This window comes from Homo sapiens, chromosome 6 (assembly GCF_000001405.40).
Source record: "Homo sapiens chromosome 6, GRCh38.p14 Primary Assembly".
NCBI classification, from domain to species: Eukaryota; Metazoa; Chordata; class Mammalia; order Primates; family Hominidae; genus Homo; species Homo sapiens.
In genome coordinates this window covers 73,562,917-73,578,357 of record NC_000006.12, presented here as the reverse complement: position 1 = coordinate 73,578,357, position 15,441 = coordinate 73,562,917, and the positions used below count along the sequence as shown (strand labels likewise).

Below are 15,441 nucleotides of genomic sequence, written 5' to 3'. Positions count from 1 at the left end.
CCATTTTTACAGGTAGGGAAACTGAGGCAAAGAGAGGTTAAATAAATTGCCCAAAATCTCAAAACTCGTAAAATTGCACAGGTGGGATTAGAACCATGCTCCAAGCACTAAATTATGCCGATCTGACCTGTGAATGCTTCCTAAGAGCCATAGGAGAGGTACAACCTGGCTTAATTAAGCTCCTTTGCTAAAGTACATTAAGATGTGTTTTACTGCTGCCTATGCCTCTAATAAATGCTCCCTTCGGGCATCCCATAATAAAGCTACCACTAAGATTCAACTTGGTTCTGTGAGGCCTTTAGCAGTGTGACCCAGTCTTCTTTCTCTCTAGCACTCAGCTTCGGCTAAACTAAAATTCAGTTTATGCTTTCCTGCCTCAGCATTTTCTCTGTGCTTTTCTCTCCACCTAGAATGCCTCCCAAGCCATCTCTCTCCACCTGACTTCTTTTATTGAAACCCCATCTACCTTCAAGGCCCAGATCAAGCTAGCATTCATTGTCACACAAGACAGAATATCTCTGAAGTCTGAAATTCTACAGCCTTTGTCTTCACCACTCACATGCCTACATATCTTATCTTCCCTACGTGGTCAGCAATTTCTTTTCCCCACAACACTGAGCACAGCACATTTGCACATAAATAGTTCTCAGTGAATGTATAGTCTCTCATTGTTTGCCCTCCATCCATCCTCTCTGTTAAATATCTGTAGAGAAATATAATGCATTATTTCAAAAAGAAAATACTTCCTCCTTCTTAAAAACAAACAAACAAAAAAACATGATTTTGTTCAGGAATTTATCCCTCTCCATTTCTGGAAATAGATCCTGATTTGTCTGAGCCAGTGCTATCAAACAGAAACAGAAATCAACTTACAAATGTAATTTTATTTTATTTTATTTATTTATTTTGAGACAGAGTCTCGCTCTGTCACCGAGGCTAGAGTACAGTGGTGCAATCTCGGCTCATACTGCAACCTCTGCCTCCCAGGTTCAAGCGATTCTCCTGTCTCAGCCTCCCAAATAGCTGGGATTACAGGCGCATGCCACCAAGCCCAGAGAATTTTTGTATTTTTAGTAGAGATGGGGTTTCGCCATGTTGGCCAGGCTGGTCTCAAACTCCTGACCTCAGAGTGATCTGCCCGTCTTGGCCTCCCAAAGTGCTGGGATTACAGGCATCAGCCACCACACCCAGCCTGTAATTTAAAATTTTCTAGTAGCCACATTAAAAAATTAAAAATAGCCCAGGTATGGTGGCTCACGCCTGTAATCCCAGCAACTTGGGTGGCTGAGGCATGAGAATCGCTTGAACCCGGGAGGTGGAGGTTGCAGTGAGGCAAGATGGCACCACTGCACTCCAGCCTGGGCGACACAGAGAGACTCTGTCTCAAAAAAATAAAAAATAGGCTGGGCAAGGTGGCTCACACCTGTAATCCCAGCACTTTGGGAGGCTGAAGTGGGTGGATCACCTGAGGTCAGAAGTTCAAAACCAGCCTGACCAACATGGTGAAACCCCGTCTCTACTAAAAATACAAAAATTAGCCAGGCATGGTGGCTCACACTTGTAATCCTAGTTACTGGGGAGGCTGAGGCAGGAGAATCACTTGAACCCAGGAGGCAGAGGTTGCAGTGAGCCAAGATCATGCCACTTTACTCCAGCCTGGGCAATAGAGTGAGACTCCATCTCAAAAAAAAAAAAGAAAATGAAATTATCGGGGAACCTGCCCCCAGTAGTCACGTAGGTTCTTTTCTATTTTCCCTAAGCATCGGCCGGGTTGAAAAATAAAGGGACAGAGTACAAAAGAGAGAAATTTTAAAGCTGGGTGTCCGGGGGAGACATCACATGTTGGTAGGTTCCGTGATGCCCTGCAAGCTGTAAAATCAGCAAGTTTTTATTAGTGATTTTCAAAAGGGGAGGGAGTGTATGAATAGGGTGTGGGTCACAGAGATCACATGCTTCACAAGGTAATAGAATATCACAAGGCAAATGGAGGCAGGGCGAGATCACAGGACCACAGGACCTGGGCGAAATTAAAATTGCTAATGAAGTTTCAGGCACCATTGTCATTGATAACATCTTATCAGGAGACAAGGTTTGAGAGCAGACAACCGGTCTGACCAAAAATTTATTAGGCAGGAATTTCCTCATCCTAATAAGCCTGGGAGCGCTATGGGAGACTGGGGCTTATTTCATTCCTACAGTTTCTACCATAGAAGATGGCCACACCCAAGGGGGCCATTTTAGAGGCCTACCCTCAGGGGCACATTCTCTTTCTCAGGGATGTTCCTTGCTGAGAAAAAGAACTCAGCAATATTTCTCCCATTTGCTTTTGAAAGAAGAGAAATATGGCTCTGTTCTGCCTGGCTCACCAGCGGTCAGAGTTTAAGGTTATCTCTCTTGTTCCCTGAACATTGCTATTATCCTGTTCTTTTTCAAGGTGCTCAGATTTCATATTGTTCAAACACACATGCTCTACAATTTGTGCAGTTAACGCAATCATCACAGTGTCCTGAGGGGACATACATCCTCCTCAGCTTACGAGATGACAGGATTAAGAGATTAAAGTAAAGACAGGCATAGGAAATCACAAGGGTATTTGATTGGGGAAGTGATAAGTGTCCATGAAATCTTCACAATTTATGTTTAGAGATTGCAGTAAAGACAGGCATAAGAAATTATAAAAGTATTAACTTGGGGAACTAATAAATGTCCATGAAATCTGCACAATCCATGTTCTTCTGCCATGGCTTCAGCCGGTCCCTCTGTTCAGGGTCCCTGACTTCCTGCAACATGAAATAAAATAAAAAAATTAAAAATAGCCAAACACAATGGGTCGTGCCTGTAATTTCAACACTTAGGGAGGCAGAGGTGGGAGGATAGCTTGAGCTCAAGGGTTTGAGACCTGCCTGGGCAATATAGCAAGGCCCCATTCTCCACAAACAGAAAAAAAAGACCAAAAAAAAAATAAACAGGTTAAATTAATTTTAATAATAAATTTTATTTAACTCAATATATCAAAAATATTATTTCAACATGGTTGTTTTTGTTGTTGGTTTTGTTTGTTTTTTTTTTGTTTTTTTTTGAGATGGAGTCTTGCTCTGTCGCCCAGGCTGGAGTGCAGTGGCGCGATCTTGGCTCACTGCAAGCTCCGCTTCCCGGGTTCACACCATTCTCCTGCCTCAGCCTCCCAAGTAGCTGGGACTACAGGTGCCCACCACCACACCCGGATAATTTTTTGTGTTTTTAATAGAGACAGGGTTTCACCATGTTAGCTAGGGTGGTCTCAATATCCTGACCTTGTGATCCGCCCGCCTCAGCCTCCCAAAGTGCTGGGATTACAGGCGTGAGCCACCACGCCCGGCCTTGAGACAGGTTCTTGCTCTGTCACCCAGGCTGGAGTGTAGTGGTTCGATCTCAGCTCACTGTAACCTCCGCCTCATGGGTTCAAGCAATTCTCCTGCCTCCTGAGTAGCTGGGATTACAGACATGAACCACTACACCCAGCTAATTTTTGTATTTTTAGTAGAGACAGGGTTTCACCATGTTGGCCAGGCTGGTTTCGAACTCCTGTTCTCAAGCGATCTGCCTATCTCAGCCTCCTGAAGTGCTGGGATTACAGGCGTGAGCCAGCACACCTAGCCTTCAGCATGTAATCAATATAAAAATAAATAAATAAGTTGGGTACAGTGGCTCACTTCTATAATCCCAGCACTTGGGAGGCCGAGGCAGGAGCATCACTTGAATTCAGGAGTTGGAGACCAGCCTAGCCAACATAGCAAGACCTTATTTCTAAGTAAAAAATAAAAATAAAACTAATTTTTAAAAGAAAAAAAACATTAAATAGATATTTTACGTGTGTGTATGTTATGAAGTTTTTGGAATTTTATCTTTTTTAATTTGAGTCCAAGTCTCGCTCTGTCGCCCAGGCTGGAGTGCAGTGGCGTGATCCCCCCTGGCTCACTGCAACCTCCGTTTCCTGGGTTACTGCAACCTCCGTTTCCTGGGTTCAAGCAATTATCCTGCCTCAGCCTCCTGAGTAGCTGGGACTACAGACGTGTACCACCACACCCGGCTAATTTTTATGTTTTTAGTAGAGACATGGTTTCACCATGTTGGCCAGGCTGGTCTCAAACTCCTCGGCTCAAGCCCCCCTCGGCCTCCCAAAGTGCTGGGATTACAGGCATGAGCCACCATGCCCAGCTGAAGTTTTTGGAGTATTTTACACTTACAACTTAATTCGGACTACATTTTAAAAGCTCAATAGCCACATATGGCTAGTAGCTTCCATATTAGACAGGGCAGTTCTGAGCCCATTAGCACAACATTCCCATGGTGACAGTTATTGATCCAGGAGTGTAGGCTGGAGGCCTAAGTTGAGCTGATCAGACTGAAACAAAGGATTTATAGTCCATAATAGGAGAGGTTCTGCCTGCTGGTAGTTACAAGAGAAGCCTATAACTCTGATTGCTACTGGCAGCCTTAGTAGGAATCATCTCGGAACCATAAGGAAAAATCAGCAGCATTGGTGTTAGGATGACACCAACATTGAGGAGGAGTAGGGAGACAGAAAGTACCCTGGGTCCTGAATGACATTGCTGAGCCATTGATCAGACCGGGCCTAGAGCTCACCCTACTTCTAGTTATGAAAAATAATACATTTCCCCTTTGTTTAAGCCAGACTGAGTCAGTTTTCTGTAGCATCCAACAATATCCCAACATCAGAGCTAACCCTGGAATCCAAGTCTACAGCCTCCTACATCCAGGTTTCTTGACAAGGATGGCTCTCAAGAAAGAATTCTGACTAATTCTTTTTTTTTTTTTTTGGAGACGGAGTCTTGCTCTGTGGCCCAGCCTGGAGTGCAGTGGCACAATCTCAACTCATTGCAACCTCTGTCTCCTGGGTTCAAGCAATTCTCCTGCCTCAGCCTCCCGAGTAGCTGGGATTACAGGTGCACACCACCACACACAGCTAATTTTTTCTATTTTTAGTAGAGATGGGTTTTCACCAAGTTGGCCAGGCTGGTCTCGAACTCTTGACCTTAAATGATCTACCCACCTCAGCCTCCCAAAGTGCTGGGATTATAGGCATGAGCCACCATGCCCAGCCGAATTTTGGCTAATTCTTTTGGATCCCTCTTTGATTCTTTCTGTGGCACAGTAGTGGTAACTGCCAATGAATTGGAAGTAAAGATCCCTACAGATGCTAGTGCTTGTGAAGGCCTCACCTAACAGGTGGGTCCTCACAGCTGCCGATGTCAGCTTGAGAGGTGACAGCGTGCTGGCAGTCCTCACAGCCCTCGCTCGCTCTCGGCGCCTCCTCTGCCTGGGCTCCCACTTTGGCGGCACTTGAGGAGTCCTTCAGCCCAGCGCTGCACTGTGGGAGCCCCTTTCTGGGCTGGCCAAGGCCAGAGCCGGCTCCCTCAGCTTGCAGGGAGGTGTGGAGGGAGAGGCCCGAGCGGGAACCCGGGCTGCGCGTGGCGCTTGCGGGCCAGCTGGAGTTCCGGGTGGGCGTGGACTTGGCAGGCCCCGCACTCGGAGCAGCCGGCCGGCCCTGCCGACCCCGGGCAATGAGGGGCTTAGCACCCGGGCCAGCGGCTGCAGAGGGTGTACTGGGTCCCTCAGCAGTGCCAGCCCACCGGCGCTGGGCTCGATTTCTCACCGGGCCTTAGCTGCCTTCCCGCGGGGCAGGGCTCGGAACCTGCAACCCGCCATGCCTGAGCCTCCCACCCCCTCCATGGGCTCCTGTACGGCCCGAGCCTCCCCGACAAGTGCCACCCCCTGCTCCACGGCGCCCAGTCCCATCGACCACCCAAGGGCTGAGGAGTGCGGGCGCACGCACGCACTGGGACTGGCAGGCAGCTCCACCTGCCCCCCCAGTGCGGGATCCACTGGGTGAAGCCAGCTGGGCTCCTGAGTCTGGTGGGGACATGGAGAACCTTTATGTCTAGCTAAGGGATTGTAAATACACCAATCAGCACCCTGTGTCTAGCTCAGGGTTTGTGAAGGCACCAATCGACACTCTGTATCTAGCTACTCTGGTGGGGTCTTGGAGTACCTTTATGTCTAGCTCAGGGATTGTAAATACACCAATCCACACTCTGTATCTAGCTCAAGGTTTGTGAACACACCAATCAGCACCCTGTGTCTAGCTCAGGGTTTGTGAATGCACCAATCAACACTCTGTATCTAGCTACTCTGGTGGGTACTTGGAGAACCTTTGTGTTGACACTCTGTATCTAGCTAATCTGGTGGGGAGGTGGAGAACCTTTGTGTCTAGCTCAGGGATTGTAAATGCACCAATCAGCGCCCTGTAAAAACAGACCACTCAGCTCTACCAATCAGCAGGATGTGGGTGGGGCCAGATAAGAGAATAAAAGCAGGCTGCCCAAACTCTGCAGTGGCAACCCGCTTGGGTCCTCTTCCACGCGGGGGAAGCTTTGTTCTTTCGCTCTTTGCAATAAATCTTGCTGCTGCTTACTCTTTGGGTCCACACTGCTTTTTTTGACCTGTAACACTCACCGCGAAGGTCTGCAGCTTCACTCCTGAAGCCAGCAAGATCACGAGCCCACCAGGAGGAACGAACAACTCCAGATGCGCCACCTTAAGAGCTGTAACACTCACCGTGAAGGTCTGCAGCTTCACTTCTGAGCCAGTGAGACCACGAACCTACCAGAAGGAAGAGACTTCGAACACATCTGAACATCAGAAGGAGCAAACTCCGGACACGCTGCCTTTAAGAACTGTAATACTCACCGCAAGTGTCTGCGGCTTCATTCTTGAAGTCAGTGAGACCAAGAACCCACCAATTCCGGACACAATCTCAGAGCACAAGAATGGCTGGAAGTCCCTTCTCAGGGCAGCTGTTATTACACTGCGCTCTCAAGCTAGCCAGAGCTTCCTCCATCTGCCAGGGCAGGCATTTGTCACAGCCCTTCAACACCTCTCCTGGAACTGATAGACCCTGGGGCTGACCCAAATCTGGACAAGCTAGAGCCCTTTGCCAAGAGGCAGCCCAGGAAGCCACACTTTCCACTGTGATAGCAGCCTTTTCTGTCAGGGTGCTGAAGATCAGCATGTTCTAGGCCAACTGCTGGTGCCAGGAATTTAGAGGGAAGGTTGGAAAGACTGACAGGAGCACTGACAACTGCACGGCCATAAACCTAAGAGGAGCAGTACAAAGAAAGTGAACTGAAGAGATGCCACCATGGGAGTGAGAGAAAATTGCTCCCAAGCTCCGTTCATCCTGCATTGCTTAAAAGCAGCAGCAGCACGGTGTGAACTAACCTGCTCTGAGGCAAACAGACCTTATGGTTCACTTACAATGCACAGGTCTTACAGCCCCAAAACTATGAGGAAAGGCTGAGCCACAATTAATCAAGCCTCCTTCCCTTCTGTCTTGGAGAATATGCATCGTGCACCAGTTGCTGAAAAATGGCAACATGGTATAGTGAGAAGAACGTGGCTTCCAGACCAGAGATCTGCCACTCAGCACTGGTGCAATGGTGGACAAGTCACATGGCCTTCATGAGGCTTAGTTTTCTAGTCTCTAAAATGAACATTATTACAAATCTCACAACTTCGGAAGGTCTAATTTCTAAAATACATGTGAAACCCTTTGTTTTTATTATTTTTCTAAATAGAGACAGGGTCTTGCTATGTTACCCAGGCTGGTCTTGAACTCCTGGCCTCAAGCAGTCCTCCCCTCTCAGCCTGCTAAAGTGCTGGGGATTATAGGACGTGAAACCCTTAGTAAGCTAAGTGCTATAAATGTTCACTGTTATGACTTCTTTTATAAGGAAAAAGAAATGTCTCTGATGGTTTTTTAATACCCAGAAATTACTACCTACTCATTAATGCTTCCTCTGAAAAATAAATGAAAATCATAAATTTTTAAATACAATTATTTGTTCTTACAGCATTTGTTTCTATCCACTTACTTGCTCTGTGCCTCGGGTCCCTGGTTCACAAAAACAGACCTCAAGTACCTGTCCTGCACAATGCTGACAACTGGAATGATGGCCAAATGCACAGAACCCAAAGGTTTACTAAGCTTAAAGGCTTATACGTCTTCTTCCTGATCATTTCACAAAGAAAGAAAAAGGAAAAGGAAAAAAAGAATGTAAAAAATAAGGCTTATACATCAGGGGTGACACTCCAAAACAGTTACAGCATCTAATTACAAAACAGTTTGCCAAGGTGTAGGATCCAGCTCCCTAGGCCCTCTGAATGGTACCACATCTTGTTTCCTTCTGACCCTAGTATGTCACATCTGAATACCACGTCTTGTTTCCTTCTAACCCTAATACCCATGGCTCACAGACACCTTCTGTCCCAGCCAAGGAAATACATACCACATTGAACTAAGCTTCTTGGTCCCCTGTATCTAAAGATGAAGGAGAACATGCTATGTCAGCCTGGCTCGCAGAATAATTGGCCCTGCACACTAAACTAGAAAACACACACACACATACACGTGCAGATGCACGCATACATAAGCAAATATGGGCACGGTGGCTCACGCCTGTAATCCCAGCACTTTGGGAGGCCAAGGCAGGTGGATCACTTGAGGTCAGGAGTTCCAGACCAGCCTGGCCAACATGATGAAATCCCACCTCTACTAAAAATACAAAAATTAGCCGGGTGTGGTGGTGAACGCCTATGATCCCAGCTACTCAGGAGGCTGAGGCATGAGAATTGCTTTGGGGAACCTGGGAGACAAAGGTTGCAATGAGCCGAGATCGTGCCACTGCACTCCAGCCTGGGCAACAGAGCGAAACCCCATCTCAAAAATAAATAAATAAATATATAAAAATTAAAAATAAAATCATTTGCTTATGTGCCAGGGAATTTACAGCCAAGTAGTTAAGTAAAATGCATACAAACCCAAAGAGGAAGCACTTAACCAAGTATCTGTTTAAGTTAAACAGGGAGATGCAGATTACGTGTGCCAAACACAGCTGGGCTTCCATGCTACGGTTCTTGGCCCTTCTGAGTCCCTGGAGCTATGTGCCTCTGGAGTTTGGAGCAAGATCAGTGCAGCGGTAGTAATTTTTACAATGATGAACGACTGCCTCAGTTGAAAGCCTGCTTCCTCATCATCCCTTGCCCAAATCCTGCTGTTCGGTTCCCAGACTGCTCTGTTCCCACAAGTTTTTCCAGAGAACACTGTAGGCCAATACACATATTCAGGTGAGCTGAGAGGAAAACCACAACAGCTGGGAGCCAGAATAAAGGGCAGGCAATGTAATAAGGAGACACTAGCAAGATTGCTGGAACCCACAGGATTTGACCACATGCTTTCCAAAGGCAGTCCTACTAAGAGAATAGTCTAATATTCCATTTTATAAGTATGAATTCTTTGAAATTATCCTACAGGCTCTCTAGTGGTATTCTTGACTTATAAAGACATTATTATATCTGGCAGGGCATGGTGGCTCATGCCTATAATCCCAGTACTTTGGGAGGCCAAGGTGGGCGGATCACTTAAGCCAGGAGTTCGAGACCGGCCTGGCCAACATGGTGAAACCCTGTCTCTACTAAAAATACAAAAATTAGCCGGGCATGGTGGCACACACATGAAATCCCAGCTACTTGGGAGGCTGAGGCAGGAGAATCGCTTGAACCCGGGAGGCAGAGGTTGCAGTGAGCCAAGATTGTGCCACTGCACTCCAGCCAGCCTGGGCGACAGAGCGAGACTCCATCTCAAATAAAAAAATAAAAAAAAAGACATTATTATATTCAAAGACATACTTGTTCAACTGTTACATTCAACATGCACATAAACTAACTGGAAGATATGTAACAAGGGCAAAATGACTGGGAAATAACTATTTCTGAATTGATGCTTGCAGGCTGGCAGGATTTGGGGAAGGAAGAAGCTTGGAAATTTGTAGAACTGGCCCTGGGGCACACTTCTTGACCACCCAGCAAGCCACTTGGTTTCTGAGTCTGATTTCTGAGGCAGAGAGTTTCTTTTTTTTTTAGACAGAGTCTCGCTGTGTCACCCAGGCTGGAGTGCAGTGGCGCAATCTCGGCTCACTACAAGCTCCGCCTCCCAGGTTCATGCCATTCTCCTGCCTCAGCCTCCCGAGTAGTTGGGACCACAGGCGCCTGCTAGCACACCCGGCTAATTTTTTGGTATTTTTTTTTTTTAGTAGAGACGGGGTTTTACCGTGTTAGCCAGGATGGTCTCGATCTCCTGACCTCATGATCTGCCCGCCTCGGTCTCCCAAAGTGCTGGGATTACAGGCATGAGCCACCGCACCTGGCCAAGGCAAAGAGTTTCTTAACCAGGCATCATATTAAAGCAATGGTTCTTAAAGTGTACTATAAGGACCAGTAGTTTCAAAGAATATGCATTACTTTTAAACTTGTTAAAATGCAAATTATTGCTGGGCACGGTGGCTCATGCCTGTAATCCCAGCACTTTGGGAGGCCAAGGCGGGAGGATCACTTGAGGTCAGGAGTTTGAAACCAGCCTGGCCAACATGGCCAAACCCCATCTCTACTAAAAATACAAAAATTAGCCAGGTGTGGTGGTGGGCACCTGTAATCCCAGTGACTCGGGAGGCTGAGGCAGGAGAATCGTTTGAACCCAGGAGGGAGAGGTTGCAGTCCACTGCACTCCAGCCTGGGCAACAAAGCGAGACTTCGTCTCAAAAAAAAAAAAAGGAAATTACTGAGTCCTACCCAAACCTACAAAATTAGAAACTCTGGGCCTACCAATCTGTGTTTTCAGTTCACCTGGCCTCCAGGTAATGTGGTGGGTGTATTGTGAGGTATGACAAACATTATTTTAAAGTGCTGAAGCCTTCTGCCGTAGCTCCAGAGTAAAGACATCAAGCAGATCATCATCATCCTGGCTTGCATGGAATCTGGAACCAGGCAGCCCCAGTTGGCTTGCTGTAATCATAGTCACTCCAAGAACCCATTTCCTACCTCAGTTCACAATCTTTGGCAGTCTAAATCCTAAATCCTTGGCTGCTAGTCCCATACCCTTCCCTACCTCTGCTCGGCTTCACCTTAATGCTTCACTTGGTCTTCTTCCCAATTTGCCCTCACACCACCTACCCCACAGTATTTTCCAGATAATATGTGTAACAGACCAGGCGGATGCAAACTGAAGCACAGCACATGTACTTTGTACCCCGCTCCCTTACGCAACCTCAATTTGTCACCAAGCTGGCTGAGCATGAGGAAAACCTGACTCCGCCCTGTGAGCCGAGAACACACCAAGAATACACCAGAAACTCACCAGGAAGCCCCACCTCCCGGGAATAACTGTGGGGCCACCAGCTAGGATGTGTTATCCTGGCTCCCTCAAAACAATGGGAAATCAAAAAAAATTTTTTTTTGATGTTTAGTGGCATATAATAGGAGGTTATGAATGTAAATTCCAGGGTGGTTTCAAACTGGAGAGCCAGTAAATTCTTCCGTGAATTTGAGTAATGATTAAAAAGCAAACTAGAAGCTGGGCACGGGGGCTCACATCTGTAATCCCAGCACTTTGGGAAGCCAAGGTGGGTGGATCCCTTGAGCTCAGGAGTTCAAGACCAGCCTGGGCAACATGGAAAAACCCCATGTCTATAAAAAATTAGCCAGGCATGGTGGTGTGCACCTGTGGTCCCAGCTACTTGGGACAGGTGGGAGAATCACTTGAGCCCAGGAGGTGGAGGTTGCAGTGAGCTGAGATTGCACCACTGTACTCCAGCCTGGGCAACAGAGTGAGACTCTGAAAAGAAAGAAATTAGAAAACCATCAAATGGCACCTTTGACGGAAGATGCAGGCTACATCATCTTACTCACATCTACTCTAGCATTTTCGAAACTGCATTAGCAAAATATTTGAGCTACTATCTCTTAAAACTTCCCTCCAAGCAGTCCTTCAGGCCAATTTTGGGGAGGTGGGAAGTTGAATAGTGGCTCATTTGATTATCGTTGGTTCAAAATGCCATGGCAAAACACACTTTAATAATAAGGAATACAGATTTGTATTTTAACTTGCATATGGCTTCCTATTCTCTACACTAAATATGCAGGAATCCCAGAGGCCTGGGGCAGGAATGTGTAGCTGCCTGTGCACACTCAAATGGCAGACATTCTTTAAATGTTTGTGGACCCTGTCCCTTCCGCCTCTGTCTCCTAGTCTTAAGCTACCCAGTGTCCTAGTTTCTAGGCTTGTCCTGCTCTAACTTTTCAGCCAAAATAGCACAGTATTTTAACAATGCTTTTTTTTTTTTTTTTTTTTTTAAGATGGAATCTCGCTCTGTCACCCAGGCTGGAGTGCAGTGGCACAATTTCGGCTCACCACACCCTCTGCCTCCTGGGTTCAAGCAATTCTTCTGCCTCAGCCTCCCAAGTAGCTGGGATTACAGGTGCCCACCACCATACTGGCAGTAGAGACGGGGTTTCACTACATCGGCCAACCGGTGTCAAACTGCTGACCTCAGGTGATCCGCACGCCTCAGCCTCTCAAAGTGCTGAGATTACAGGCGTAAGCCACCGTGCCTGGCCAACAATGCTTCTTATACTTAATGTGCATACAGATTCATTTGGAATCTTGCTAAAATGCAGATTTGAATTCAACAGGTCTAAGGGGTGCCCAAGATGCTTCCTTTCTAACAAACTCCCAGAGGTTGCCCCTTGTTCCTGGTCCACAGGCCACACTGAATAGCAAAGCTCTACAGGAGTCAGCAGACTTTTTCTGAAAAGGGACAGATAGTACAAATTTAAGACTTTGTGGGACATAGGGTCTCTGTCCAACTGCACAATTCTGCTGTTGTAGCATGAAAACAGACAGAACATGTAAATGATAGGTGTATTACCAGAAAGGGTCCTGATCCAGACCCTTAGAGAGGGTTCTTGGATCTCGAGCAAGAAAGAATTTGAGCTGAATCCATAAAGTGAAAGTAAGTTTATTAAGAAAGTAAAGAAATAAAGAATGGCTCCTCACAGGCACAGCAGCAGCATGGGCTGCTGGTTGGCTATTTTATGGTGTTTTTTTATTTTGTTTTTGTTTTTAAGACAGAGTTCTGCTCTTTTCACCCAGCCTGGAGTACAATGGTACGATCTCAGCTCACTGCAACCTCCGCTTCCCCGGTTTAAGCGATTCTCCTGCCTCAGCTTACCCAGTAGCTGGGATTACAGGCACCCGCCACCACGCCTAACTTTTTTGTATTTTTAGTAGAGATGGGGTTTCGCCATGTTAGCCATGCTAGACTCGAACTCCTGACCTCAGGTGATCTGTTTGCCTCGACCCACCAAAGTGTTGGGATTACAGGCATGAACCACCACACCCAGCCCACTTTTATGGTTATTTCTTGATTATATGCTAAACAAGGGGTGTCTTATTCATGAGTTTTCCAGGAAAGGGGTGGGCAGTTTCCGGAACTGAGAGCTCCTCCCCTTTCTAGACCATATAGGGTAACTTCCTGACATTGCCATGGCATTAGTAAACTGTCACGGTTCTGGTAGGAGTATAGCAGTGAGAACAACCAGTGGTCACTCTCGTCGCCATCTTGGTTTTGATGCTTCTTTAGTGCAACCTGTTTTATCAGCAAGGTCTTTATGACCTGTATCTTGTGCTGACCCCGTATCTCATCCTGTGACTTAGACTGTCTGGGAATGCCGCCCAGATGGTCTCAGCCTTATTTTACCTAGCCACTATTCAAGATGGAGTTGCTCTGGTTCACACGCCTCTGACATAGGGACCCAAGTGTAGGTCTTAACTCAGCCATTTACTAACTCTATGGCTCAAGTAAGTCGCCTCTTGGATTCTCATTTAACTAAACCGTTACATGGGAGCAAAAATTCTTATCTTAGGGCTGTTTGCCTAGTGCCTGGCACACATCAGGTCTTCAATAGAAGGAAATTAATATTATTGGCATTTCCAGCTAACTTCCTTATACATTATTTTCGCTAATTTAGTCACCCCATTAAAACCCCTTGTGGCTCCCTGTTTCCCACTGGATCAAGTTTAAACACCTCTGTGTGATCTTCAAGGCCCTCTAGTATCTGACACACCCTTTCCCATTTTATTCTGAGCCTTCCCACTTTCAGGTTAGTCAAGTAGATTTTTCACTGTTCCTAGCCTACTGTGACATATCCCCTTCACTGGAATATTTTTGCTTATCTCCTTTGCTTTCTACAAACTAAGCAATTAGGGCTCAGTTCAGTTCTGTCTCTTCCATAAAAACCGACCTTAGAATTATTATTGTTTTCTATGGTCCATTTCATGCACACAGTTCCTCATACCATATATTATTAAGTTCTTGCTAACAATTACTTGAATAATATTTGCCTAATATGTCCATGTTATCACTTTTTTTTTTCTGTATTTAAATAGAGACCGAGTCTCACTGTGTTGCCCAGGCTGGTCTCAAATTTCTGGGCTCAAGTGACTCTCCCACCTGGGCCTCCCAAAGGCCCATTACAGATGTGAGGTACCACACCCAACCTATGTTGTCCCTTTTTTTTTTTTTTTTTTTTTGAGACAGAGTCTGGCTCTATCGCCCAGGCTGGAGTGCAGTGGCACGATCTTGGCTCACTGCAACCTGCGCCTCCTGGGTTCAAGCAGTGGTCTCAATCTCCTGATCTCATGATCCACCCACCTCGGCCTCCCAAAGTGCTGGGATCAGAGGCGTGAGCCACTGCGCCCAGCATGTCACTTTTTACAATAGGAACCATGAGATGGTTTTTGTTTAAATTTCTCCATTGTAATTTAGGAATCAACTTTATTTCCAAAAAGATCATTCACTGGAACATTTATTTGTTTACTCGACAAAAATTTATCTGTTTGTGGCCGGGCGTGGTGGCTCACGCCTGTAATCCCAGCACTTTGGGAGGCCAAGGCGGGCGGATCACAAGGTCAAGAGATCGAGACCATCCTGGCCAACATGGTGAAACCCCGTCTCTATTAAAAGTATAAAAATTAGCTGAGTGTGGTGGCGGGCGCCTGTAGTCCCAGCTACTGGGAGGCTGAGGCAGGAGAATCACTTGAACCCGGGAGGTGGAGGTTGCAGTGAGCCAAGATCACGCCATTGCACTCCAGCTTGGGCGACAGAGCGAGACTCTGTCTCAAGAAAAAAAAAATTTTTTTTTAAATTTATCTGTTTGTTATCTAAGAATATTCATTAAAAATCAAATACTGGCTGGGCACGGTGGCTCACTCCTGTAATCCCAGCACTTTGGGAGGCGAGGTGGGCAGATCACCTGAGGTCAGGAGTTCGAGACCAGCCTGGCCAACATGGTGAAACTCTGTCTCTACTAAAAATACAAAAACTAGCCAGAAGTGGTGGCGAGTGCCTGTAGTCCCAGCTACTCAGGAGGCTGAGGTGGGACAATCGCTTGAACTCAGGAGGCAGAGGTTGCAGCGAGCCGAGATCCTGCAGCTGCATTCCAGCCTGGGCAACATGGCAAGACTCCATCTAAAAAAAAAAAAAAAAA

At 46.5% G+C, this 15,441-nt stretch overlaps 1 long non-coding RNA gene across 1 annotated transcript in view, besides 4 other annotated features; it reads right to left on the bottom strand.

The window, feature by feature from the left end:
• Positions 1,628–2,343: an enhancer, noted in NCBI's record as "OCT4-NANOG-H3K27ac-H3K4me1 hESC enhancer chr6:74285738-74286453 (GRCh37/hg19 assembly coordinates)". NCBI's record gives its function as "activates a minimal SCP1, AML or CMV promoter by ChIP-STARR-seq in primed H9 embryonic stem cells {active_cell/tissue: H9 hESC(primed)}" and the evidence as "EXISTENCE:reporter gene assay evidence [ECO:0000049][PMID:30033119]".
• Positions 2,105–15,441, bottom strand: part of EEF1A1-AS1 (EEF1A1 antisense RNA 1) — a 52,643-nt gene continuing 39,306 nt past the window's right edge. The window contains exons 4-5 of the long non-coding RNA NR_187283.1: positions 5,223–8,071; positions 2,105–2,780 (exon numbers count right to left, since the gene is read on the bottom strand). This is a non-coding gene — a long non-coding RNA (EEF1A1 antisense RNA 1). The remainder of the gene's footprint in view (positions 2,781–5,222; positions 8,072–15,441) is intronic.
• Positions 12,085–12,634: an enhancer, noted in NCBI's record as "OCT4-NANOG-H3K27ac-H3K4me1 hESC enhancer chr6:74275447-74275996 (GRCh37/hg19 assembly coordinates)". NCBI's record gives its function as "activates a minimal SCP1, AML or CMV promoter by ChIP-STARR-seq in naive H9 embryonic stem cells {active_cell/tissue: H9 hESC(naive)}" and the evidence as "EXISTENCE:reporter gene assay evidence [ECO:0000049][PMID:30033119]".
• Positions 12,354–12,536: a silencer, noted in NCBI's record as "fragment chr6:74275545-74275727 (GRCh37/hg19 assembly coordinates)". NCBI's record gives its function as "represses an EF-1alpha promoter that drives an FKBP-Casp9 reporter gene in an ReSE screen in phorbol 12-myristate 13-acetate-treated (for megakaryocytic differentiation) K562 erythroleukemia cells {active_cell/tissue: K562(+PMA)}" and the evidence as "EXISTENCE:reporter gene assay evidence [ECO:0000049][PMID:32094911]".
• Positions 14,285–14,834: an enhancer, noted in NCBI's record as "H3K27ac hESC enhancer chr6:74273247-74273796 (GRCh37/hg19 assembly coordinates)". NCBI's record gives its function as "activates a minimal SCP1, AML or CMV promoter by ChIP-STARR-seq in primed H9 embryonic stem cells {active_cell/tissue: H9 hESC(primed)}" and the evidence as "EXISTENCE:reporter gene assay evidence [ECO:0000049][PMID:30033119]".